Consider the following 26,402-nt stretch of genomic DNA (forward strand, 5'->3'; position numbering starts at 1 on the left):
TCTTGACATGAAAAATTCTTCATGATATATGATTACACAAAAAGGCAGGTTATAAAAGAGTCCATAGGAATTATATGTAAGCTTATGTGTGTATACATCATATATATAAATAAGAAATATATAAGTATATAAGAAACAGAAATATTTCTTTCTATATAATATATACATAAATATATATAAGAAATATATAAAGAAGTATATTTCTATATATATAAGAAATACATAAAATGCAATAAAATCTACAATACCTTTTCTAAAAATCAAAGCTTATTCACTACTATTTTGAAAGATGATTGATACAGTACTTCTCTTCGGATATAACTCACAATTTTTGCTGTAAGGAATGTACACTGCATTATGAGAAATGAACACATGACTTTTAAGTTAACATAAAATCGGAGGATGAATGCCCCCATAAGAGGGGCCTTCCCTAAGCACAAGAGTGATGCGGGTTCATCACCGTTTCCCTCTGTGCCAGGGGACACACCCTGCCAGCGGCGCGCATAAGGGCAGCTTCGGGGAGACTGGAGTCTCAGGGTCCCTGGGCTCACACCAACCTCCTGCTCTTGACAAGCTCCTTCCCATCCACTTCCTTAAGCCCAAGAGGAGCTTTGTTAAGTCACATCACTGCAATTGGTTCATTTAAGTTCTGCCATACATGTGCAGGATGTGCAGGTTTGTTCCATAGGTAAATGTGTACCATGGGGGTTGGCTGCACCTGTGAACCCATCACCTAGGTATTAAGCCCCGCATGCGTTAGCTATTTTTCCTAAAACCTATTTTCCCCAGTTATTAAAATAACTATTTTAGCTATTTTAACATTAGCTTACATTTCCTTTAATTTTAAAATTTTACTATTTTAACATTTTGAGAATATGTTATTATATCCCATTTTTCATTAACACTTTAGTACAACTAAACCCATAATGATTCTTTAGTGAAGTTTTTGTGGTTGTTTCCTTTTTGATTCCTCTACCCTAACAGAACATTCACTAACCCCATATTTTCTTAATTTTCTTTATGCTTATGTACATAAGCATATCTGGACACATGTTTTACATGTGTCTAAACACCCAATCCTATAAAATTATGAAAGAAAAGAAAAAACAATATCTTAATGTTTGCATGCAATACACAAATTATTAGACAAAGCAGGGAAACAGTATGTGAATCATCCTGAAACGATGTGAGACCTGGTAAATCTAACTGGTCCCTCACTGAACTGGCTCAACTCTTAGGCATAGTGACACATAGTTTAGAATAGGGGACAAAGTTTCCAAGAAAGCTCCTCTAGGGAAATATGGGCCTCCAGGAGAGTAGGAAAATGTGATTCTCAAAATAAACCTGAAGATGCTTGTTTTCATTCCTTCTTATGACATCTTCAACTGTATAAATTATTTCATCCAGAAAGATACTACTACTAATAAAAGGGATACCTTCTTTTATTTATTTTTTAATCTTATATGCAAAGATAGTGTTACTGGGTTGAGTATAATGAATTTTCTTTAGTCTCCTAAATCTGAGTTTTCTAATTGATCACAAGCACTGCAGGGCTGGATAGAGCTGCATCCTGTGAAGGGTTGAACCTGAGAATAAGCAGGCTACCCAGGGTGAGGTGGATGTTGTAGAAATCTGTGTCTAATTCCGCCTCACAGTAGCACGGATTTACCTGGGGCTCTGTTTCAAAATGTGGGATGGGGTCTCTGTTTTGTGCCATTAACTAAGTGCTGCACCAGGGTCACACTCAATGAGTCCTCCAGATTACACACTTGAGAATCTTAGGAAGTAGTTAGGAAAAGAATGCAAAGACAACAGCACATTTATGTGAGATACAACAGCCTACAACTCTTGTGAGAATATTTTAAAAAGCACACACAGTAAGAATCAGACCATATTGCAGTAAACAGCAAGAATCCCTGGCAATTTTGTTCAGCTGCTTTTTTTTAACTTGAGGTTTTTGAGTTTTATGCCATTGTTTCCTGAAGCTTCACCATCTTTATGAGTCTGTCCTCTTTGAAATATTGTTTTTTCCTGTTTTAATAACATGCATATAAATTCTGTGTACTAGATTGAATCTTAGTTCTGAAATAAAACAAAACAAAACAAAACAAAATGGAATAATAGAAAACTAAAGCAGGCAGACAGCTAGGGATGATCCAGGCACTTCTAATCAACATGACATGCCAATGATGGTCCATTAACCTCCTCCTCCATCCCCTGCTTCATCAGATATATTTGAAAAAGCAGTTTTTAAAATTAAGTTTGTTTCTATTTTTCTAGGAAAAGGCAAGAAGTTTAAAAAACAAAGGCTACATTAATCCTGAAGAGTTTAAAATGCATCAACGAATTTGTTTAAGCTGTGCAACAGACATGGTATCTAGTGGACCAGAGACAGTATCTGGGATACAGAGAATGATGAATAAATATGAGGTGTTTTTAATTTCTTCTTCTCTTCCTTGGGATAAATTAGAAGAAAGTGGAACCTACATACAAAAAAAGCTTTTCATACTTAAAAGCCCACTCTTTTGAGTTCAGTTAATCTCTCATTCTGCAAGAACAAGTTTTGTGTCCAATGCACAGATGCCACGGCAGATTGGGTGAGTCTTCCTAGCTAGCAAACTCCTCTGGTCGTCTGCATAGTTATCTACTTAAAGACACGAATAATTGTATTGATGGTGTCTAGCACATCATTTGGGATATAGTAGGTGCTCAACAAATGTGGCATTGCATGGCCTAGAAGGCTCTAGGGGGATGGATACAGAATGTTCTGATACACCTAAGACGTGAAGACATAATTATGCTGTCCCCCTGTGTGGAGGTAACTGGGACAACATTTGTGGACATTCATTCTCAATGGTTCCTTCAGTCATGCAATTTATTTTCTGTCACACAAGGAAGAGAAAAGAGTTTGATTAAAGCTGTTGAATCTTTCCTTAAGTCCTTGCAGCTGCATGAGCAAGAGGCTGACACTAATATCTGTCTTCCCATCGCCATTCCGGTCCTCATAGTTTCTTGTAGATGTGCGGATTTCATGTATTCCTCTGAGAACTGAATGAGTTAACGTGATTGTTTCAGCCATATTTAGCACAGTGTGCAATAAATATTTCATGTATAGCAAAGCCTCCTGGTGCTAGAGACAGTGGGACAAGATTTCATTCAGCTCCGGTTGACACATTTCAGGGTATCCCCTAAACCCATCCCCCATTTTCCATAGCCCCTGACTTTACAAGTGAGCCTCTCTCTACGAACCCATTATTATATAATAATCCTATATAGACTATACGATCGACTTGCTAATTTTCAAGCTGACCAGACCACCCACATTATCGGCGAAAGCAGGAGGTTTTGAGCAAGAAACTAGGGACACCTCTGTGAGCGATTCCATTCCTCCTCCCTCCTAAATAAGACACAATAGAAGCCTGCTTTCTGGGGAGAGTGAGAACAAAGTAACTTTGAGGATTTTGTTATGAATGTAAGATGCTCTCTACCCTGGAAGAGCGAGAAGCGATGATAATCCCCATGTATTTGTTCAGAAGTATTCACCTACAGCACATGGGCCCAGAGCTATGCAAGGTATTGAGCAAATGAGATAGTTTGAAACTTCGCATCTGTTAGCTGAGCTTATTGGTCAGAGGCATCATCCCAGGGAAGCGCAGAACTGCTCTGGTCTTTCTTCATTCACCGCCTTTCCCACATTTCAATGTGATCTTTTCCCTTCAGTTGTAGATTGCTTTCCATAGGGTATATTAGCAATAGGAATTGACTGCTGCTGCAGATACACCAATTCAGATAAACTTGGGCTCATATCTTTTGGCAGCAAAGCCTTATACAATATACATCATCTAAAAGGTGATTTTCTTATTGTCTTGTCCTTCAACAGGCCAATTATTTCTAGGGTGTGTCATTAAGGGTATTTATTACTTTATGTAGAAACTACATTAAGACACTCAATGTTCTTCCACTTAAAATCGCAATGCTAAAATACTTCTTAATACACATGGCACTCTGATAAATTTAGAGCTTTTAGGTTATATACATTATTTAAATTTCTGTAACAGGGTAAGGACTAAAACACACTAAATATACATCTACGAATGAAACTGTCACTGTTGGAGATTTTTTTGGCAATGCAATCAATGAGTTAAATGGAAATAATAAAAAGTACAAAAGTTTATATTCATCAAAATGAAACCAGAATCATTTTCTAAAAGGCCAGATATGGCCTTATCCTAAGACTTTTGAAAAATCTCAGAGAAGAGAAAACATTTCTTTAAAAAACAACCTGGAATTTGAATTTTTTTAACAACAGACGTGGTTCAAAATTGCCATTTCCTTATGAGCAAACATTTTTGAAAGTAAAACTTGTTAATTAATTGATTAATGAAACATACCCTTTTTAAAAAAAAGCAAAAATGCGAGTGAATATGAGTCACTGAAGTATTCAAACGTTGTGAAAGTAATAGATGTTCAGAAAAGAGTATTCCTGTGTTTAAATACATAAATAGCATTTGGTCTATGGCTGTATTTCCCATCTGAGAACTGCAGTAGTCATGGACAGTCACAGAGGGAAAATGGGGCTGTTTTTAATAAATTCCACCTATTACAAAGAAGCAGTGGGTACAAAAGTCACAGGAAATTTCGTTTAAGAAGGTGACTACACAGCGAAAACCTGACGTTATTTCCTACTCTACTGTCAAGTACAGATGCTTAAAAATATGTTAAATCAGTATAAACATAACAGATTTAAATATTCCATATGAGAAACAACCAGCTTCTTAAAATTTTAGTGTGTATGTATAGCAATTCTTTCAATATTTATCTTAATTACATTCACATGATTTAAAAGAAACACATGCATGAATAGTACATATGCATGCACACACAGACACATGCACACACATGAACAGACATGCACACACATGAACACACACATGCACACATACATACACACATGCACACACACATGCACACATGCCACACTCATTGCTGGGAGGTAGAGGAGTAGGGAAATGGGGACTGCTTATGGGCTTAGCGTTTTGTTTTGGGGTGATGAAACATCTGGGAACTAGACAGAGGTGATGGTTGCACAACATGGTCATGGCGAAAGCGCCCCTGAACTGCACACTTTAGAACGGTTAACTAGGTCGAGTTTTGATTTGCTTTGTTGTTGTTGCTGTTTTTTTTTTAATGAAGTCTCGCTCTGTCAGTCAGGCTGGAGTGCAGTGGCGTGATCTTGGCTCACTGCAACCTCTGCCTTCTGGATTCAAGCAATTCTCCTGCCTCAGCCTTCTGAGTAGCTGGGATTACAGGTGTGCACCACCACACCTGGCTAATTTTTTTGTATTTTTAGTAGAGAGGGGGGTTTCACCATGTTGGTCAGGCTGGTCTCGAACTCCTGACCTCGTGATCTGCCCGCCTCAGCCTCCCAAAGTGCTGTGACTATAGGCGTGAGCCACCATGCCCAGCAAACTAGGTCTAGTTTTATGCCATCTGATTTTCTTTTGAGATGGGGTCTTGCTCTGTTGCCCAGGCTGGAAGTGCCGTGTCTTGGCTCACTGTAGCCTTGACCTCCCAGGCTCAAGGGATCCTCCCTTCTCAGCCTCCTAGGTAGGTGGAACTACGGGCATGTACCTACCATCGCAGCTGGCTAATTTTTGTAGAGACTGAGTTTTACTATGCTGCCCAGGCTGGTCTCAAACTCCTGGACTCAAGTGATCTCCCTGCCTCAGCCTCCCAAAGTGCTGGGACTAAAAGCATGAGTCACTATGCCTGGATGAATTTTATCTCAAGAATAAAATAAACACTGAAAGAAAGGATTGTCCAATATCATGTGTTGGAGCTTCATCCAGTACTTGTGAATCCCAAAGCAGATTTTTTTTACTCATTAAAAACTGCTTCCCTTTATATACACTTATGTGAAATTTTACGTGCGTTTTAAAACTAAGAACAATGTATAAAGGCCACTTCTAGTTAGTGAAGTCCTTTTAAATTGGAGACACTTTTCCAAAATTTGAAGCAACAAATGGGTGTGGATTGCCTGTCTGGGTTTTCTAAATCATCCCCCTTGTTGAAGGTAAGGTTATATTTTCCTCCTTCAATGCATTTATTGCCAATATCCTGTAAACTGCAGCAGAGGGGGCTACTGTCTGCCCCTGTCCGGCATCACTTTCCTGATCCTATTACAAAAGAGGAGTGTCAGGGCACTGAGGCAGAGGCAAAGCACAGCCCAACTCTCAGCGTCTCCCAGATGCCAACTGGATCTACTTTAAAAATATTTTTTAGGAAGTCGGCTTCCAATTATTTGAGAAGGATCCATCTTTTTTTCATCAAAAGCAAGAATAAAGCTGAATTTTCATTAAAATGAAGGAAGCACTCAAAGGTCTCCCGGGACGTATAGATCTAATCCTCTAGTGTAAAATACAAAGGGAAGCTCTTGGTTTTGTTTCTAATGTTTTAAAAGACGAGCGTGGCTAAAGTTTTAGGACGTAGACTGAGTGCCACAATGAAGACAGCTCCCGTCTCGGCCCTTATGACTTCAATCTGGCCTGGAGTTACTCCCCTGCATTGAAGAAAGCAGACAAGGCTCGTGATGTTATCGTCAACGGTTGTTCTGAAAGTAAGAAAACAGGCTGGGTGCAATGGCTCACTCCTGTAATCCCAGCACTTTGGTGAGGTCAGGAATTCAAGACCAGCCTGACCCACATGGTGAAACCCCATCCCTACTAAAAAAAAAAAAAAGAAAAAAAATTAGCTGGACATATTGGCACAATCCCAGCTACTTGAGAGGTTGAGGCAGGAGATTCACTTGAACCCTGGAGGCGGAAGTTGCAGTGAGCTGAGATGGCGCCATTGCACTCCAGCCTGGGCAACAGAGCAAAACTCCATCTCAAAAAAAAAAAAAAAAAAAAAAAAAAGCAAGAAGAAGAAAGAAAGTAAGAAGGAAGAAAGAAAGTAAGAAAACAACATTCAAACAACCAAAGAAGTAGCCTAAGTAGTTGACCTCGTGTGTACTGATTGCTGATGGTCAATTTGGGTCATTCTACGAGACATACAATTAAAGGGAATTGATGGATGAGCATTTTCAGAGTAACATTGCCTTGCAGTGGGTGGATTCTTTCCCCACACACAGAAGTGTGCACCTGCTGTTGTTGCTGCTGTGGTGAGGACGCAGGTGCTGATGTCATGCGGACAACTCAGCCGGGGCAGTGGAAAGTTCCCAAAATGAGCACCAGTTCCCCACACGCCATCGTGCCCACTCACGTGATACCACTGCCATGTTTTACAGAGGAAAACGGATGCTTTTTGACTAAAAGACTAAAACTTTTATGAAAAACAACTCATATGTGGTAAATGTAGAAATTAAAGCCATCAATGTTTTATCTTTATATGGAAAGTGAGTATAGCTACATAGAAACACACAGTAAAGTTTTTATAGGATCAATTAATTAAAAAATCTAATTCAGAAAATTATTTATAGACATCTTTATCATTCAATTTTTAATTTTTTTATTTTGGGTTAGAAACATAGAAGCCCTTCCTGATAATGTTCCTTTGTAATTTAATAAATTACCATATTAAAACCAATATCTCTTGAATATCCATAGGTTAAAAAAAGAATAGTGAAACTCTATTTAAATCTCAGACTTTATACAAAAATTAACACAAAATGGATCACAGACTTTAAAATATATCAAATGCAAAGTGATAGACAAAATAGAGGAACACTTCAAGATCTAGGTCTTGGCAGAGTTCTTAGACTTGACATCAATACCATGACCCAGAAAAAGAAAAGACGATGAATTTAAAACTTGTGCTGCTCAAAGGACCCTGTGAAGAGGATGAAAGTCAAACGAGAGACTGGGAAAAATTCTGCGAATCATATACCTGACAAATGACTATTACACAGAATAAAGAACTCTTGAAACTCAGTCTTAAAAAGCAAACAAAAAAATCCAAACAATTCCATTAGGATGTGAGCAAAAGGCATGAACAGACATTTCACTGAAGAGTACAGATGGGAATAATCACCAGATAAGGTACTCACGTCGTTAGCCATCAGGAAATTGCAAGTGAACACCACAGAAAGCTATCACCACACATCTATCAAGAAAGCTAAAATAAGACAGAGTGACCGCACCGAATGCTGGACAGGATGTAGAGAAACTTCATCGCCCACACATGTTGGGTAGGGATGACAAATAGTACCGCCATGCTGGAAAAATGCTTGGCAGTTTCTTATAAGACTAAACTTGCAAATACCGTATGTGCCAGTACCATTTACACTCTTGGGCATTTTTCCCAGAAAAATGAAAACTTATAACCACACAAAATCGTGTTCATAACAGCTCGTAGCAGCATTGTTTGTGACAGCAAAGTCTGGAATCAACCCAGACGTCCTTCAATGGGTAAATGGTGAAAAAAACTGTTACATCTGTACCATGAAATGCTACTCCACAGGAAAAAGGGACTGAATTATTGACACAGGCCACAACTTGGATGAATCTCCGGAAAATTATGTTGAATAAAAAAGGCCCATCTCAGAAGGCTGCACACCACATGATTTCATTCATTTATATAACATTCTTGAAGGGAGAAGGTCAGAGAAGTGGAGACCAGGTTAATGGATACCAGGAATTAAGAATGAGGTTGGGATGCGTGGGTGTGTTTATAAGCGGAGTAAGGCGGATTCTAGTGATAATGGACATTCTCCATCTTGACCACATCAATGTCCATATGCTGGTTGGTCTAATACCCTCTAAGTTTGCAAGATTCTACCACTGGGTGAGAGTGGGTAGGGGACAAAAAGGACCTCTCTGTATTATACCTAGTGCCTGCCTGGGAATCTACAGTTATCTCAAAATGAAACATTTTATTATGAATGTATTTACTCATTCAACAGAGAAAAGGAGGACTTTAATGGGAAAAAAGAGAGAGAATTGATGACATTTTATCCTAACAAAAAAATAACATACTGAACATATGACATATTTTACATATTCCATATAAACACGTAATTTAGTAATTTACCATGTTAAAACATAATGTTAACATATTTGAGCTGAAATATTTTTTAAAATGAGAGACTACACATTAGATCAGCTTCTTATCAGGATAATCACCCACAAGACCTCCAATGTTAGATTTTCACTGAGATAATGCTGTTATTAAGTAAAGAAATGAAGCATATTGCTAATGCACGCACACACGATTGTGAGGAGCTGAGGGCAGGGTGAGGCATGTTTGACTCTGGAAGTATCAGGCCTGTGCAGTAAACTCAGCTCTGCTCCGTATGGAGTCCTGCGGCCTCCACAAAGAGTCACCGCTAGCTCTCTTGAGCTCCAGAGCATATTTTGCTAGGCCCTGCTCCATACTTCCTAAAACACCACTGCACAGTTGTCAGTCATAAGAGTTCAACTGCCAAAAAGATTGAATTATGCTAGAATGAGAACACAGCAGTGTTTTGCATCTCCTCTTATTTCTCGTGATTGTGAAACTAAAGTGAAAGAGATCATTTCAACCCTAATTCTGCACATCAGATATTTCCCATGTAATTATTAAAGGAAAAAACAAACACAAATACAATGAAAGAAGAAGAAAAGTTGTAGTTCAGGTGAAATCAGTAACCATGTTCCTCTCTCTGTTTTTATTTTTGGAGGGAGACCATGTTTGGATACAATGAAAGCTGTGATTGAAGCAAGCTCACCCCTGTGCACCTGGGGCTGACCAATGTCCCTGGGCTTCTTAAGCTGGGGTGGTTCCCTCCTCTGGTCAGGGGCTGGGGCTCGGCGGAGGCAGGGGCACTGGCTTCACCCCCTCACTCTGGTTTCCTTTGCATTCTGCACTGTGGTTAGTTGAGTGAACTGGGTTTCATCAGTGTGTTGGTCAAAACCCAAGCATTCTGATCCTGACAGTGACTAGTATTTTAGGGGGAAACAGAGGTAGGAGTCTTTACTTAGCCTTTGAGCTTACGCCAAGACCTCCAATTTAGACCTGAGCCAGAACTCTGCAGCTGAGTAGCCAACTTCTATACAACTTCTAATCATTTTTTAAATGACTTGGGTTCCCACTCTGCTATCAGCTTATTTGAAGATAGCTCCCGTGGGAGCCCTAGGATAAGAGAGGTTCTTGTCAGAGAAAGAGACATTGATAAGTTCCTGGCTTCAATTTCATCTTAATACCATAAAAAATACTTGCCCTTCACACTAAAGTACAATACACCACCAATAAGAGTGATGTTGTAATGGAAAGTAATTGAAATGAAATCTTAAACATCATGAGCTCAAACATCTAGAAATGCAAAAAAGAACACAATTTTCTTGGAAACTCAGATTTAGCAGAGGTCTCTGTGACTACGTTTAAAGAAATGAATCAAAAAATAAATAATTGAAAATTTAAAACAGTAAGAACTTCGTAAAGACAGTCATAAAATTAGAAGCATAATGGCCCCCAAATGCTAACTATACAGGGTAGAAATAAATGTGTAAATACATGAATAAAAAGAGAAATAGAAGATGAGTTATCTTTAAGGGAGATAATTCTAGATTTTCGTAATTGAACATCTGGCCACGAGACAGGAAAAAGCCATGGAGAGCTTTGTGCTTACTCTCAGAAATGCTTTCACACCTGAATGGTGAGAGTTTGCAGAACTCTTTATGCATTACCCTTGATTCATGGAGACAGGCTCTTGATGGTGTTACTGGGCAGCCTAGAACACTCTCAGAGCAAAGGGCTCATTCCTGGATGCTGTTCCTACCTCGACACGTGGGCAGAGGGCTACTCCACTGGCCGTTGCTCCGACACTGGGCTCGAGACACGCCCTGCAGCAAATAGCCCGTGTTGCAGGTGAAATTCACGACATCATTCAGGTTGAACTCACTGCCATTAGTGAATCCGTGGGCAGGGTTTCCAGGGTGACCACATGTGATGGCTGTAGAGAGACAGGTCAACGTCATTGTTAAATATTGAACAGGTCATCACTTTCCCTTGGGATTATTAATAAGAAACATGCAGGCATGCTAACGGTATGGACTGAAGGTTTTCCACTAACCAGGCAGCTTACAGATGGTATTTATATTCAGAAGGGAATATTGGGAGCTACAACCACAGGCTGACACTACAGGCTTTTAATATAATTGTGGAAAATAACAAACACCTGCCAAACACGCTTTCTTTACCATCATAATTATTATTTCTCTCTTGAATCATGACAGAATACCAAATGATTTAAAAACGAAGCAGTGAAAAACAAGAGATGCTAAAAATTCTTGTATTAATCATGAGTTTTGAACATTTTCTCCATACACACCAGCTGACTCTGTGAAACCCTCCTTTTGAGACAGTATGGGATTTGTCTGATACTTTTTAATGTCCATGTATAAATTATTGCAATATCAATTTACACATCATGAAATTAGCAAAATAACTAAGCACACTCAGCTCCTATTTTTGTTGAGAATCTCTGTCATATGATCCTTTGAAATGCAGTGAACTGTCAATATGTCATGCCCCAGATAACAGCAAGACAGATCAGGGAGAGATATCCATCATTCACCCTTTCAACAGAAACACACTACAGTCATAAAACTGGTGTTTTCTTCCTCATTTATCTTGTCAACAATTTTTTTCCTATAAGTAAAGCTTTTACCCGTGAACTTTGTACATTTTTCACATCACTATTACAGATAATCTTTGTCACTGTTTTATCCACATTTCTTTTGTCTACTTCATAGGAAAATATACAATATTTCTAAAAACAATTGGTTTAAGGGAAATTGGGCAATAAAGTGAGAGTACATTGTTCGAAAAATAGTCAATATTTACAATATTTATCGCTGAAGTTATACAGCTCAAGGTTGATCATTCATTACATGTAATTTTACCTCTTTCTTTTTTTTCCCTTTTTTTTTTTTTTTTTTGAGATAGAGTCTTGGTCTGTCACCCAGGCTGGGGTGCAGCGGCACGATCTCTGCTCACTGCAACCTCCATCTCCAGGGTTCAAGCAATTCTCCTGCTTCAGCCCCTCCTAGTAGCTGGGATTACAGATGTATGCCACCATGCCAGGCTAATTATTGTATTTTTAGTAGAAATGGGGTTTTGCCATCGGCCAGGCTCGTCTTGAACTCCTGACCTCAGGTGATCCACCTGCCTCAGCCTCCCAAAGTGCTGGGATTACAGGCGTGAGCCACCACGCCTGGCCAATTTTACCTCTTTCAAGTAAAAGAAAGAATGCTTACAAAACTCCCTATATTCTTGACGAAGCAATGACAAAAATGTATGCAACACGGATGAGGCAGGGAGTGCCGCTGTTTCTAGGACTGCAAAGCTGCCCAGCAGACCCAGACTCTGCACCTCCACCCTCCTACTATCAGCTTTTCTCTCCACCCAGTTTATCCTGTGATAAAATCAAGGAGGAGGAATCCATGACACCACTTGGCCAGGGATCCATTTACAATGAATTGATAAGCAAATTAAATGTGGAGTCAGGAAAAGGAGTTTGAAGGAAACAAAACGGGAAGGAGATCAAAAAAGGAAAGCGTGAACATGGCACCTCTCCTGTTCTCTTTCTTTGTATAGGCAAAACTGAAAGTTTGCTGTTCCCTTTTACAGTGAAGATTAAACAGGTGTATATTGTGACCTAATAACAAAAGACAATGTGGCAAAAGGAAGCATCGATGAATTCGTCCACAAAGAGTGCACTTACGGACACAGACAGGCGTTTGTCCAGACCACTTGTGGTCTTGCAGGCATATCCTCACGGAAGTTCCCACAAGCCGGAAACCAGGATTGCACTGGTAAACCACCGTGTCTCTGTAACTGAAGCCATCTCCACTAATGTGACCGTTCACAATCGGGTCTGGGGAACCGCAGTGGCCAGCTAAAAATGTTAAACCAATTTTAAAATTTAGAGTGTCTGTCATTTATAAAAGTAGTACATTCACAACTTTTATTATCAAGTCAATAACAGTATTGAAGGCGCAACATATTGAAATCTTTATCATTACATATATATGTATACTTTTAAATATAGTTTTTCTTTTTTTTATTATTTTTTTTCAGAAATCCTGGAAAAAATAAGTAATATTTCTAATATGAAATGGTTTGTATTTTCCTAGTTGTGATTTTCCCATCTATCCATTTCACTTATTTTGCTTACCTGTATTCAGTTATTTACCTTGTTATACTATTTTCAAAACAAAGCAAAAAGTAAAGAAGGAATTCTTGGAATTAACATGAACAGGGCTTCTTAACCTATTGATTATGGGTAGTAAGGAGATCGGTGAGGGGGGCTTCCAGTCAGATAGACTAGATAATCAAATTACCTGTGAAATTCCAAATGGAAAGACAGGGATCAGAGAATAAGTTCAATTTCAATTATGAAAATCTGAGTTATGGGTGAGCTGATGTCTGAGTAAAAATGGCCTGGAATCAGTTGAAAAGAGAAGTCTAGAGTTCCAGGGACAGATGTGCTGAAGTTAGCGTGGACTTGGGACAACAGGAGCATGCACAGCTGACAGCTGAAACTAAAGGTGGCAGGGCTTACTCAGGTGCACAGTGAAAGAACAGGAAGGAGCGCGAGATCGCGACAGGCGTCTTTACTTAAGGGGAGACAGAATGTCCATGTAGATAGTAAAACAATTGACAAACATGGCATTGAAAGAGCTTTAGTAACAGAGCTTCCACATGGAGACAGACCCTCTGACATTATTCCACTCACTCCCACCATTTTTTTTCTTTTTTTTTTTGGCAGGGTCTTGCTCTGTCACTCAAGCTGGAATGCAGTGGCACCATCACGGCTCACCGTAGCCTCAATCCCTTGGGCTCAAGTCATCTTTTGGCCTCAGCCTCCTGAGGAGATGGGACTACGCCACCATGGTACATGCTGCCATGCCTGAGTAATTTTTTTATTATTATTATTTTTAGTAGAGATGGGGTCTCATTATGTTGTTCAGGCTGGTCTTCAACTCCTGAGCTTAAGCAATCCTCCTGCCTTGGCCTCCCAAAGTGCTGGGATGACAGGTGTGAGCCACCACAACATTTTGTTACCTTCTCTTCCATCTCCCTCTTCTGCCTCTTTACTGCTCTCACTTTTCCTTCTTTCCTTTCCTCCAACTTCTCCTTTTCTCTCTCTCCCTTCCTCGCATATATGGAAAGGGTATTCTTATTAAATTAACAAAATATACAGGCTGAAGAGTAACTTACATGAATTGGACCTGTGTTACACATGGGTTTTGGAGTCACAAGAAGAGGAAAAACATTCACCATGAGTTCCTAAATAATCATCTTTGTCACTCTCCTATAGTTGCATCAACATTTCTTTTTGCTTAATTCACAGGAAAATAAAGAATATATTAGAAAAACAATTGCTTTAAGAGGAATTTTGCAATAAAGTGAGAGTACCCGTATTCTAAAAATAATAATCAATATTTATCTTTGAAGTTATAGAAAGAAACTTTTCGTAGGAAAACAGCTACAGAAGCCTTCAGTCCATGCAAAATATCAAGGCGGAGACTTTCCCTGCCCACTTATTTCCCCAACAGGGAACACAACCAATGATTCTCCATACAAGTTCCTGCACACCCAGATTTGAGAAATTACAAAATTGTTGTCATACTCCTTTGGGATTAAGTATATCCTTCTAGGGAGATTTAAAATCATAATCTATATTTCTGCTTAAAACAAAGTTTAGAAACATTGTGTTCTCCTATTTTGGAGAACAAACTTATTATCAGGAAGGTAACATTGCAGAGGAGAGAGACAGAAGAGAATCTGATCTCTGCCTCAACTCGTAGAAGAGATTAGACCACAAAAAGCCAGGCTAGATTTGGCTAATTTTTGTGCATTGGCAGGTATTCCAGTCAATCGGATCAATAAGTCAGTTCTGGTGATTTGTCCCAATCACTCCCACATATGAGACTTGATACAAGCGGAGAACGTCGATGAGGGTGAATGTTCTCCATATTGTGAAGAGAGACCCCCTGAAGGCACAAGTGTTATCACAGGCACAGAGGACATTGTCTCTGAAGGTTCCCCTTTCCAGACGCTGTCCTTTGCACAACGTGCTCTGTCGTGCATGGGGGAGATGGAGCCATCGTTCCAACCCTAGAGACAGGGAGACGAGGACTGGTGAGAGCCAGAAGAGCCCATCAGCCCAGCACAAGAGATCCCAGCCATTTCTGAGGCGAGGCATAGAATAGCTAGTTTCTAGAAACACACAAGAAAATGACACCAGCAATTCCTTTTGGAATTACTTCTGAAGCCTGGAACCACTCCAAGAGGAGGGGATGTGGGACCAAAGGCAATAGTGATGTGAAAAGGGGTGCATTTTAACAGAGCTCCTCTCATTTTAGGGAATCTGTTCAGGTCTCATTCTTGACTTAGACAAACAGGACTCCTTTTAAACCTTAATATTTTTCTGAACTGAGTTTTTTGTAAGTGCACATAGTTTGAAGTTGCACTCTTCTTTGGGAACCTGGCAAACAAGGACTTGTAATGGTCAAGGAAGCATCTGTGTACTCTAGAAATCAGGCAGCAAGCCTGACAGCCATGACTGTAAATAAAGATTCCCAACAGCAACTCCTCTCTGACACATGGTCATTTCGGTTCTCTGAGGAATTGGCACCAAATGCCTAAAGAAAACAGAGGATGTCCTTCAAAAACATTTCATTTTACCTCCTTGCCTGAAGAAAAAAAAGTTATGTATCAGCAGGATTGCCTAGTATCTAAGCTTCCTAATACAGAACAATTATTTCTTCATTGTGGCTTCCTATTTTGAAACAATGAGATAGCAATCTGTTTTTCACCTGTTATCACTTTCCAGCCATCCGTTAATTCTGTTTTAAAACATTCAAAATCTTTGACCAATTATAGTCTATTACAAATAGAGGATAACCACACAATTTCACTCACAGAATACTCTTTAACCCAAATCTTAATGATATTGTGTCAATATGTTGAGGAAGGGAAAATTGCATTAGGAGGAATTTGAACTCAATGAATTTTGAGCTCTATTTTAAATTTAAGATTCTATTAGTCTATGATAGTATTATTCTATATGCTTTGTATGTGAGTTACCTTTTCTTTTAATATCTCTGATGTAGTCTTGGTTTTGAGTCATCTACACAAAACCTAGAAAGCCTCTCTGTCTTCCCTCAGGATGAAATGTAATCAAGTTCATGCTTCTCTGCTGTGTCTCTACCATATCAGTCACACACTGAGTACTTGTTGAAATGAACAGAAACAGAATAACCTCACCACTGGGCAGTCATGTCCTTTACATTGTCTCCTATGTCACCTTCATGTATTTGACAATAATTCATTTATTTGACAATAATTTCATGATGATTTGTTGTGGGTTGCAATGTTCTTGGGGCTGGGGATTAAACAAGGAATAAGACACAATCGCAGAGGGTAAACGCAGAGGAGCAGCTGTCACGTGCAGAGTCCTGAGGGTGTGCGGACCTAGCAGGCTGGGAACGAGTGGAAGGAACACTCAGCCATGCTGAGGACCAGGACTCCTGGTGAAAGAGGTGGCATTTAAAGTCTGAAGGATGAGCGCTTGTTAGCCAGGAAAAGGTGATGGCAAGACATTCTAGCCACAGAAATTAGAAATGTTATATATTTTTAAAGCATCTGTTAAAATATGAAGACTATGATGTCAAATGACCCAGTTATACATTTGCTAGGAGGGTGACCATTTGCATCCTGTCCAGCTTAGTACATAGTAGGTGTCAGCCCCACTGCGTGACTCTGCCACTATTTGAAGATAGTTGCTACAACTCCACTGAGTATGCACAGTAGCAAAGGAGGATAAGCAACTCTATTCACTGAATTTTTTTTTTAAAGAAATGAACGTGGGGTGAGGGCAGCCCTGCACACTTCAAAACCAAATATCATCTAGTGATAATAAAATACTGAAATTCCTCAGTGGACCTTACACTATGATGCCAGAGCCCAGAGGCTGTGATTTGTCTTGATTTTGCAGACTTTGTTTATTTATTATTCATTGACGTTTAGCTTCAGTTTAAACAAAAACTGCCCAATGTCTCCAACAGGCAATTGTGTAGCAACAACAGTCACAGCTCGGACATCATGAAGCCTGGATTTCTTGAGAAGTGTGTGTCAGAAATTGTCCTATTAAAGTGTGGAAGGAAAACCTTGGCAAGAAAGCAAGTGACCCACTTTACTCTTAAATCAATCTTCTGCGTGAATTTATTAGTCTACTAGTAATCTGAACCCAGCAGGACTGAGAAGCAAATGGTTGAAGAATTAGGAAAGAATGCTATGCAACTGTAAATTCATATGATTTTTAATCCAATGTATATAGATAGACAATGTAAATATATCCTCATGGAATTGCAGAATTTGCTTTTAGCTCAAGCACGAATTAACAATTCAATTACTACCACACTTCATGAATTTTACATTTTAATTCTTCATTTTCTCCATGCTGAGAACAGGTATGACTGTGGACAGGGTAATTCACCAACCACTTAAAATGGTTGAGAGAACCAGTAACGGAACCAAGAATGAAATGGTCTGCTCCAGTGACTCCGTTTTACACACTGTTCTACAAAATATGTCATTGGAATAAGAATACCGTGGCCAGGCGCAGTGGCTCATGCCTGTACTCCCAGCACTTTGGGATGCTGAGGTAGGTGGATCACCTGAGGTCAGGAGTTCGAGACCAGCCTGGCCAACATGGTGAAAGCCCATCTCTACTAAAAATACAAAAATTAGCTGAGCAAGGTGGCACATGCCTGTAGTCCCAGCTGCTCGGGAGGCTGAGGCAGAGGAATTGCTTGAACCCGGGAGGCAGAGGTTGCAGTGAGCCGAGATTGCACCACTGCACTCCAGCCTGGACGACAGAGCAAGACTCTGTCTCAAAAGATAATAAAAACAATAACAATAATACGGTGAAACTTCAGAACCATTGAGGTGTTATACGTATGGACTGTGCAGTACCCTGGGTGGGACCCAGGAATTTGAACGTCTTTCCTGAGTTACAAAGAGTTTCCGTACCATAAGCTTTGAAAATCACTAGCTTTTCAGTCTACTCTATTCTGTGTCTGATGAAAGCTTTGTTACTCCAAGGAGGAACTGGTACCATTCCTTCTGAAACTATTCCAATTAATAGAAAAAGACGGAATCCTCCCTAACTCATTTTATGAGGCCAGCATCATCCTGATACCAAAGCTGGGCAGAAACACAACCAAAAAAGAGAATTTTAGACCAATATCCTTGATGAACATTGATGCAAAAATCCTCAATAAAATACTGGCAAAATGAATCCAGCAACACATCAAAAAGCTTATCCACCATGATCAAGTGGGCTTCATCCCTGGGATGCAAGGCTGGTTCAATTACACAAATCAATAAATGTAATCCAGCATATAAACAGAGCCAAAGACAAAAACCACATGATTATCTCGATAGATGCAGAAAAGGCCTTTGACAAAATTCAACAACGCTTCATGCTAAAAACTCTCAATAAATTAGGTATTGATGGGATGTATCTCAAAATAATAAGAGCTATCTATGACAAACCCACAGCCAATATCATACTGAATGGGCAAAAACTGGAAGCATTCCCTTTGAAAACGGGCACAAGACAGGGATGCCCTCTCTCACCACTCCTATTCAACATAGTGTCGGAAGTTCTGGCCAGGGCAATTAGGCAGGAGAAGGAAATAAAGGGTATTCAATTAGGAAAAGAGGAAGTCAAATTGCCCCTGTTGGCAGACGACATGATTGTATACCTAGAAAACCCCATTGTCTCAGCCCAAAATCTCCTTAAGCTGATAAGCAACTTCAGCAAAGTCTCAGGATACAAAATCAATGTGCAAAAATCACAAGCATTCTTATACACCAACAACAGACAAACAGAGAGCCAAATCATGAGTGAACTCCCATTCACAATTGCTTCAAAGAGAATAAAATACCTAGGAATCCAATTTACAAGGGATGTGAAGGACCTCTTCAAGGAGAACTACAAACCACTGCTCAAGGAAATAAAAGAGGATACAAACAAACGGAAGAACATTCCATGCTCATGGGTAGGAAGAATCAATATCGTGAAAATGGCCATACTGCCCAAGGTAATTTACAGATTCAATGCCATCCCCATCAAGCTACCAATGACTTTCTTCACAGAATTGGAAAAAACTACTTTAAAGTTCATATGGAACCAAAAAAGAGCCCGAATCACCAAGTCAATCCTAAGCCAAAAGAACAAAGCTGGAGGTATCACACTACCTGACTTCAAACTATACTACAAGGCTACAGTAACCAAAACAGCATGGTACTGGTACCAAAGCAGAGATATAGATCAATGGAACAGAACAGAGCCCTCAGAAATAATGCCGCATATCTACAACTATCTGATCTTTGACAAACCTGAGAAAAACAAGCAATGGGGAAAGGATTCCCTATTTAATAAATGGTGCTGGGAAAACTGGCTAGCCATATGTAGAAAGCTGAAACTGGATCCCTTCCTTACAGCTTACACAAAAATCAATTCAAGATGGATTAAAGACTTAAACGTTAGACCTAAAACCATAAAAACCCTAGAAGAAAACCTAGGCATTACCATTCAGGACATAGGCATGGGCAAAGACTTCATGTCTAAAACACCAAAAGCAATGGCAACAAAAGACAAAATTGACAAATGGGATCTAATTAAACTAAAGAGCTTCTGCACAGCAAAAGAAACTACCATCAGAGTGAACGGGCAACCTACAGAATGGGAGAAAATTTTTGCAACCTACTCATCTGACAAAGGGCTAATATCCAGAATCTACAATGAACTCAAACAAATTTACAAGAAAAAAACAAACAACCCCATCAAAAAGTGGGCAAAGGACATGAACAGACACTTCTCAAAAGAAGACATTTATGCAGCCAAAAGACACATGAAAAAATGCTCATCATCACTGGCCATCAGAGAAATGCAAATCAAAACCACAATGAGATACCATCTCACACCAGTTAGAATGGCGATCATTAAAAAGTCAGGAAACAACAGGTGCTGGAGAGGATGTGGAGAAATAGGAACACTACACTGTTGGTGGGACTGTAAACTAGTTCAACCATTGTGGAAGTCAGTGTGGCGATTCCTCAGGGATCTAGAAGTAGAAATACCATTTGACCCAGCCATCCCATTACTGGGTATATACCCAAAGGACTATAAATCATGCTGCTATAAAGACACATGCACACGTATGTTTATTGCGGCATTATTCACAATAGCAAAGACTTGGAAGCAACCCAAATGTCCAACGATGATAGACTGGATTAAGAAAATGTGGCACATATACACCATGGAATACTATGCAGCCATAAAAAATGATGAGTTCGTGTCCTTCGTAGGGACATGGATGAAATTGGAAATCATCATTCTCAGTAAACTATCGCAAGAACAAAAAACCAAACACCGCATATTCTCACTCATAGGTGGGAACTGAACAGTGAGATCACATGGACACAGGAAGGGGAACATCACACTCTGGGGACCGCTGTGGGGTGGGGGGAGGGGGGAGGGATAGCATCGGGAGATATACCTAATGCTAGATGACGAGTTAGTGGGTGCAGTGCACCAGCATGGCACATGTATACATATGTAACCAACCTGCACAATGTGCACATGTACCCTAAAACTTAAAGTATAATAATAAAAGAAAAAAAACTTAAAAAAAGAAAGCTTTGTTACTGTTTGTAATTATAAACTGCTATTATATTTTGCTTAAAATGTCTCAAATAGAAAAAGGGGAGTTATTTTAACAATCTTTCTCTAAAATTGGATTTGAAATAAATAAAAGCTACCAAACATTTGAACAAAGCACAGAGACTGGTAGCAAGATGGATGGAGTATTGAGTCCATTTTCATAGCAAAGAAATAGAGTATGTCGCAAGCAAAATGTCAGGAAGAAGGCTCGAGAGGGAGGAAAGGCCTAATTTCTTGATTGGTCAAGGTTTCCCTGCAAACTACATTTGTGCCAGAGCAGTCAGGAGGGCAGAAAGTGGCTGAATTCCCTTTGTGAGGTCAGTTGAGTCTGAGGTTCATTAGGGACACACACAGGGAAAACCACTCACTCCATTATCACCCGCACAGTGTGGCCCACCCTTAGACCAGGGGAGGCTGCACACCTGCAGTTTATAGAATTCAACACGGGAGAGCAGGGGCCTCCGCAAGGCCAGCCTCTCAAAGCCTTTGTTTCTAGAGTTCCATGTAAATTCCACTGCACAGGTCTTTTAGTGTAAGTTATAAAACACCTTGCTGAGAGAACAAAAGGTTGTTTTGTTTGTTCGTTTCCAGTAGAGTGAACACTCAGAAACTGGCTCCTGAACGAATCCGGTTCCTTCAGAACTCCAGCATGCCCCCCTGGGTGACCTATGTTTTCTGGAAAGCGGTTCTACAAAGCTGTGTTTTAGAGGAGGAATCTTACTGGCAGACAGGATTTGGCTTTGTTTAGCTATCCGTACTGTTTCTGCAACACTTGCTTTTGCTACTGAAAGGAGTTATGCGGTTTGCAACCTAAAACCACCACACTGATTGTCAGTGGTGACTTTCTGAGTGACTGACGCAAGGTGGACCCTCAAAGAGACCTGAGGTACTTGTTGGCCGATTTACCTTCACATCATAACGCACGCAGAGTGAACACCTCACATGCAAGTACAGCAAGGTGAGAGTCTCCGACAAGTACCTAGACCTGTGTGATTTTGGAAATGGGTTCCCTGATTTGGAAATGTAATAAAGTTCCACTGTTTCACTTCTCCCGCAGAAACCCCATATACCAGTGGGAATGTTGCCACAATGTCTCCCATGACAGCGGACAGACCTGGAGCCGTGCATTCTTTGGGGAGGAATCGGCTCCTTCCATTGGAGCTGTAGGATCTCTCCCCTCTCACCAGGTCTCCCACACACGCACTTTTGCCCCTAGAGGGGCCTACTTGAAGCTCACGTCTTCAGTGTGCAGGTTTGTAGCAGGACAAATACTAAATATTGGTCCGGGGATTAGAACGGAATCCATTTTTAGAAAATCTATAAACCAAATATTCAACCTCAGTATTTGCTTTGTGATTACTGGTACTTATTGCTGAAAATAAAATACATTACAAATATCCTGGGCCTGTAGGGGAATACAATATGCTTTATTCTATCCATTCTATGCAATAACATGGTCTTTGGCTAAGTCAGAGTTATTTGGGCAGTAGATTCCAAAGCCAATTTGCAAACTTTTCTTCAGTATTAACAAATGGTCATAAAATGTCAGGTGCATCAGATTCACTTATAGGCAGGAAAAACTATTATTAGCAGTACACTTCAACGGACATATTGAAGTCTCTTGATCTCCATATGCTAAAGAAACACATTTGAATATTGATAACTGAGGTGTGTTTTTTTTGCCTCCAAGTGCAATCTCTAGGGGCAATGCTGACCGACTTAGCCCATGCATAGATATGCATATGGTATCACAGAGAGTGTGTGGAATTTGTCCAACATGGAGGTATTGGGCTTGCAGAGCATACAACACTCTGTGCTGTTTGTGACAGCATCAAACACGGGCCCGAGTCCTCTGCCACAAATCCATTTGATCAGATCTCTGCTTCACACATCTTAGTGAATGACAGCTTTTTTAAACCAGTTTGGTTTGAAGAAAACCTCAAACCAGGGCCATCATTTGGACTGTCTTTGGGGCTTTCAGCATTCTTTTTATCTATTCCTGTCTCAATGTAGTTCCTGAATATACCCCATTTCCACCTTCTTCCCTGGGCCTATCCTGCCTCATTGTCCTCAAGCTTTGTCTGCAGTCTTGCCTGCCGGTGTCACGTCTTTCTGTCCCTCAAACTTCAGTCCAAATCCACCGCAGGTGCGCATCTTCCACAAACCCCAAAGGAAGAGCTGCCCATTCATACAGGAGGCAAAGATCTCCCTGACTTCAGGTTTCTCCTACAATAGGAGAGCCTATCTTCGGTGTTGCCTGTTTAAAACACCCAGACTCCTACTCTTCTACTGTGTTTTGTTTTAGATGTAGCAGGTGGCATTCTAATTTTTCGTACCTATGCACTTCCCCTATTGGACTGTGAGTTCTGAGTGCAGCACCATGCCTTGTGCATGTGCATCAGGACTCAGCTCAAAACCTGCCCTAGAGCGGGTGTCAGAGTTATCAGATCTTTTCCACCATCTCGTGGCCCTATCAGTCCAGGCTCTTATGACCAGGCGGCCGTCGAGAGTTCGACCCCAGCACCTGCTTGTTTCAGGCAAGTCCGACTTCCTTGGGCCGCACTCCGCATCTATGCTGTTGCCACCAGGGTTGCAGCTCTTGATTTCTGGAATGGCTTTACCCCATGCCTGCTTGCTGGAATTCCACCCAGAATCAGCACGGCTTCCCCCACATCTACTCTTCTGTCAGCCTCTAGGTTGCTCCCACTCTCACCTGGATTTCTCAAGTAATGTGCCTATATTTCCCTTTTGCCATTATTCTATTCCCAACTTTTTTTTTTTTTTTGAGATGAAATTTTGCTCTGTCACTCAGGCTGGAGTGTAATGGCATGATCTCGGCTCACTGCAACCTCCACCTCCCGGGTTCACGCGATTCTCCTGCCTCAGCTTCCCAAGTAGCTGGGATTACTGGTGCCCACCATTATGTCCAGTAGTAGAGATGAGGTTTCACTATGTTGGCCAGGCTGGTCTGGAACTCCTGACCTCGTGATCTGCCCACCTCGGCCTCCCAAAGTGCTGGGATTACAGGCGTGAGCCACCGCGCCCTGCCTATTCTCAACTTTTTATTAAAGCTACTTGGTATTTACCTTATTTACTCCTTAGAGTATAGATTTCATAAAAGAAGAACCAATCTTATTAACCTCTGAATGCTGCACCATAGTTCTTGAGGAACAAGAAAAATATCATTAAATACTATTCAGAAATATGACAGAAAAACCCACCGCTGAGAAGTTTGCTAGTTATTCCCCAGCCACTGACAATGCATTTGGAAAATCTGAGAACTGGTATAGGGAGTTTTCCTGACTAACATACAGAACATATTTTACACTTAAGACGGTATGGCAAAGATGGGGGTGGGGCAGGGGAGGCAGTGCTAATCTTTCTGCTCTGCTGTGATATAAGCATTATCATAATCAGTTGTTTTATTAAATATTTTATGTGGATCTTTCCAAAATACAAGGCAATTGAAGAATATATTTAAACTTGACTATCTAAGAACTATGAATAACTACAGTCTAAAAACAGTATTTTGAATCATGTCATCTAGCTATTTTAGCCACATAAATAACCATTATATTGCATTTACAGAACAATTCATCTCCTCATGGTTATAATAGCGCAATAAATGCAAACTTATTTCTAACAATAGCAAAACAATCTAATAAAAAATGATAATGTCCTCTATGTGGGAAATAACTCAAGCTACCACTAATATCTTGAATACTAGAGATTGAAGAGGTAACATAGTGGAGAGAGGATGGGTTCTTATGTGCTGAAAAGTCTAAATGATGTAAATGTTTTCAAAATATGAATGTGGGATTCTGTGACAGGAAACCTAGACCACAAACTATAACCTCTTCCTAGTTTGTGTGTTCTCTGTTGGTTTAAGCAAACTACCGCAGAGAAGATAAACAGGAGAAAATAATTAAGGGATCATGTAGATCACAAACTTCCTGGGTGGATTAGCAAGTGCCTGAGAGAGTGGATACCAGGTCAGCATTCTCAGTGCTTAATTCTGTGGCCTGGGGAGAGGTGTAGCATTACACAGTACAGTTGGTAAATTAGAGCAGGTCCTTGGCAATTTACAGAACTCTGAACTCTGGGAGATCCCAGTAATAACGCAGGAGTGATCGTGTTGATGAAGGTGGGCTAAATTTTATACTAATGTACTCGGATGCACCTGTGCATTACTTTGCTCAAAATCTATTTACAATGATATTTACATGCACACTCCAATTTCTCACAAGGTTCTTCTTAGAATCCAGACCAGGGACCTAAAACACAGCATGGATTGAGTTCTTGAATATTAGGTGTAGAAAATCATCTTTTCTTTCCTTAAATACAGCTGTCCTATAGTTGACATTCTCAAGACTCAGTCTGTCAACGCTCATCCATTCCTGTGTTTGGCCACTCCAGCTGCAATACTCAAAAAGGATTCCAGCATATTCTCCCATGTTGGAAGTCACTGGAAACAACTAGCATGCCAGCAGTATGAGTCATGTTGCGATGAAACTGAAGCACAATCTCAGGAAACAGTATTCTTTCTAGTAGCCCCAAAAATAAACTACAAAATATCTCAGCCACAATTCAGGGAAAAAAAATGCTTTTGTCAAAAAATCTTGCACCAGGATGGAAAACATATTGGACCTAAGGTATACAGCCCAAGGGAAGTTAATCTAAAGAACCAAAGTGGACCCTGCTTTTGCATAAAGTCTTAGTTGTCTTGTTTGGAAGATCCACCTGTTTAAAAATACACAAATGAAAGGGGATGTGGGGATTTTTTATACTGATTCCAAAAGCTCTCTTTCTCTGTACACAGTGCCTGCTTCATATGATTGGCTGTGTCCCCACCCAAATCTCACCTTAAATTGTAATAATCCCCACCTGTCAAGGATGGAGACAGGAAGAGATAATTGAATCATGGGGGCGGGAGTTTCTGTTCTCATGGTAGTAAATAAGTCTCACAAGATCCAATGGTCTCATAAAGGGGAGTTCCCCTGCACACGCTCTCTTGCCTGTCACCATGTAAGATGTGCCTTTGCTTCTCCTTTACCTTCCACCATGATTGTGAAGCCTCCCCAGCCAGGTGGAACTGTGAGTGCATTAAACTCCTTTCCTTTATAAATTACCCAGGCTCAGGTATGTCTTTCTTAGCAGCGTGAGAACAGAAAAATACACTGCTATTACAAACCCATGAATGGAAGTATGCACATATGATGTCTGCATCAACCCTGGGCCTTGTCTTGGCAGATATATGCAATTAATTTTATGTTTGTTTCTTTTTTCCCACCCACATGTTCCTGATTAAGATGTACAGATGTCAGCATGGTCTTCATGCTGACTCTACCCGTCAGGGCTGGCACTGATATGGAAAACAACTTCCCACAACTAGTTTCTTCCATCTTTCACCTGATAGCATTTTAAATATTTGAAAATAGTTATGAATGACTACTTTACTTTTCTCTCTGTCAGAGTAATATCAAAAATTTTCCAGCCTGGTGTGGTGCCTCACGCCTGTAATCCCAGCACTTTGGGAGGCCAAGGCGGGCAGATCACCCAAGGTCAGGAGTTCCAGACCAGCCTGGCCAACATGGTAAAACCCCGTCTCCACTAAAAATGCAAAAAATTAGCCAGGTGTGGTGGTGGGTGCCTGTAATCCCAGCTACTCAGGAGGGTGAGGCAG

General features: G+C 40.3%; 1 protein-coding gene and 1 long non-coding RNA gene across 10 annotated transcripts in view; one reads left to right on the forward strand and one right to left on the reverse strand.

The window, feature by feature from the left end:
• The window catches only part of LOC105377785 (uncharacterized), a 297,276-nt gene that overhangs the window by 260,302 nt on the left and 10,572 nt on the right, over positions 1-26,402 (forward strand). For 2 of the 5 annotated variants that reach the window (NR_168443.1, NR_168442.1), the window contains 2 exons: positions 21,311-21,677; positions 21,777-21,971. This is a non-coding gene — a long non-coding RNA (uncharacterized LOC105377785). Of the gene's footprint in view, positions 1-2,280; positions 2,598-11,922; positions 12,792-13,747; positions 13,873-17,051; positions 17,166-21,310; positions 21,678-21,776; positions 21,972-26,402 lie in introns of all 5 variants that reach the window. The other 3 variants (NR_168444.1, NR_168441.1, NR_168445.1) reach the window with 3 other exon arrangements.
• Positions 1-26,402, reverse strand: part of CSMD1 (CUB and Sushi multiple domains 1) — a 2,059,554-nt gene that overhangs the window by 51,897 nt on the left and 1,981,255 nt on the right. For all 5 annotated transcript variants that reach the window (XM_011534752.3, NM_033225.6, XM_011534753.4 and 2 more), the window contains 2 exons: positions 12,701-12,874; positions 10,754-10,927 (listed from right to left, as the gene is read on the reverse strand). In XM_011534752.3, coding sequence (XP_011533054.1) covers positions 10,754-10,927; positions 12,701-12,874 — 348 coding nt within the window. The remainder of the gene's footprint in view (positions 1-10,753; positions 10,928-12,700; positions 12,875-26,402) is intronic.

This window comes from Homo sapiens, chromosome 8, assembly GCF_000001405.40.
Source record: "Homo sapiens chromosome 8, GRCh38.p14 Primary Assembly".
NCBI classification, from domain to species: domain Eukaryota; kingdom Metazoa; phylum Chordata; class Mammalia; order Primates; family Hominidae; genus Homo; species Homo sapiens.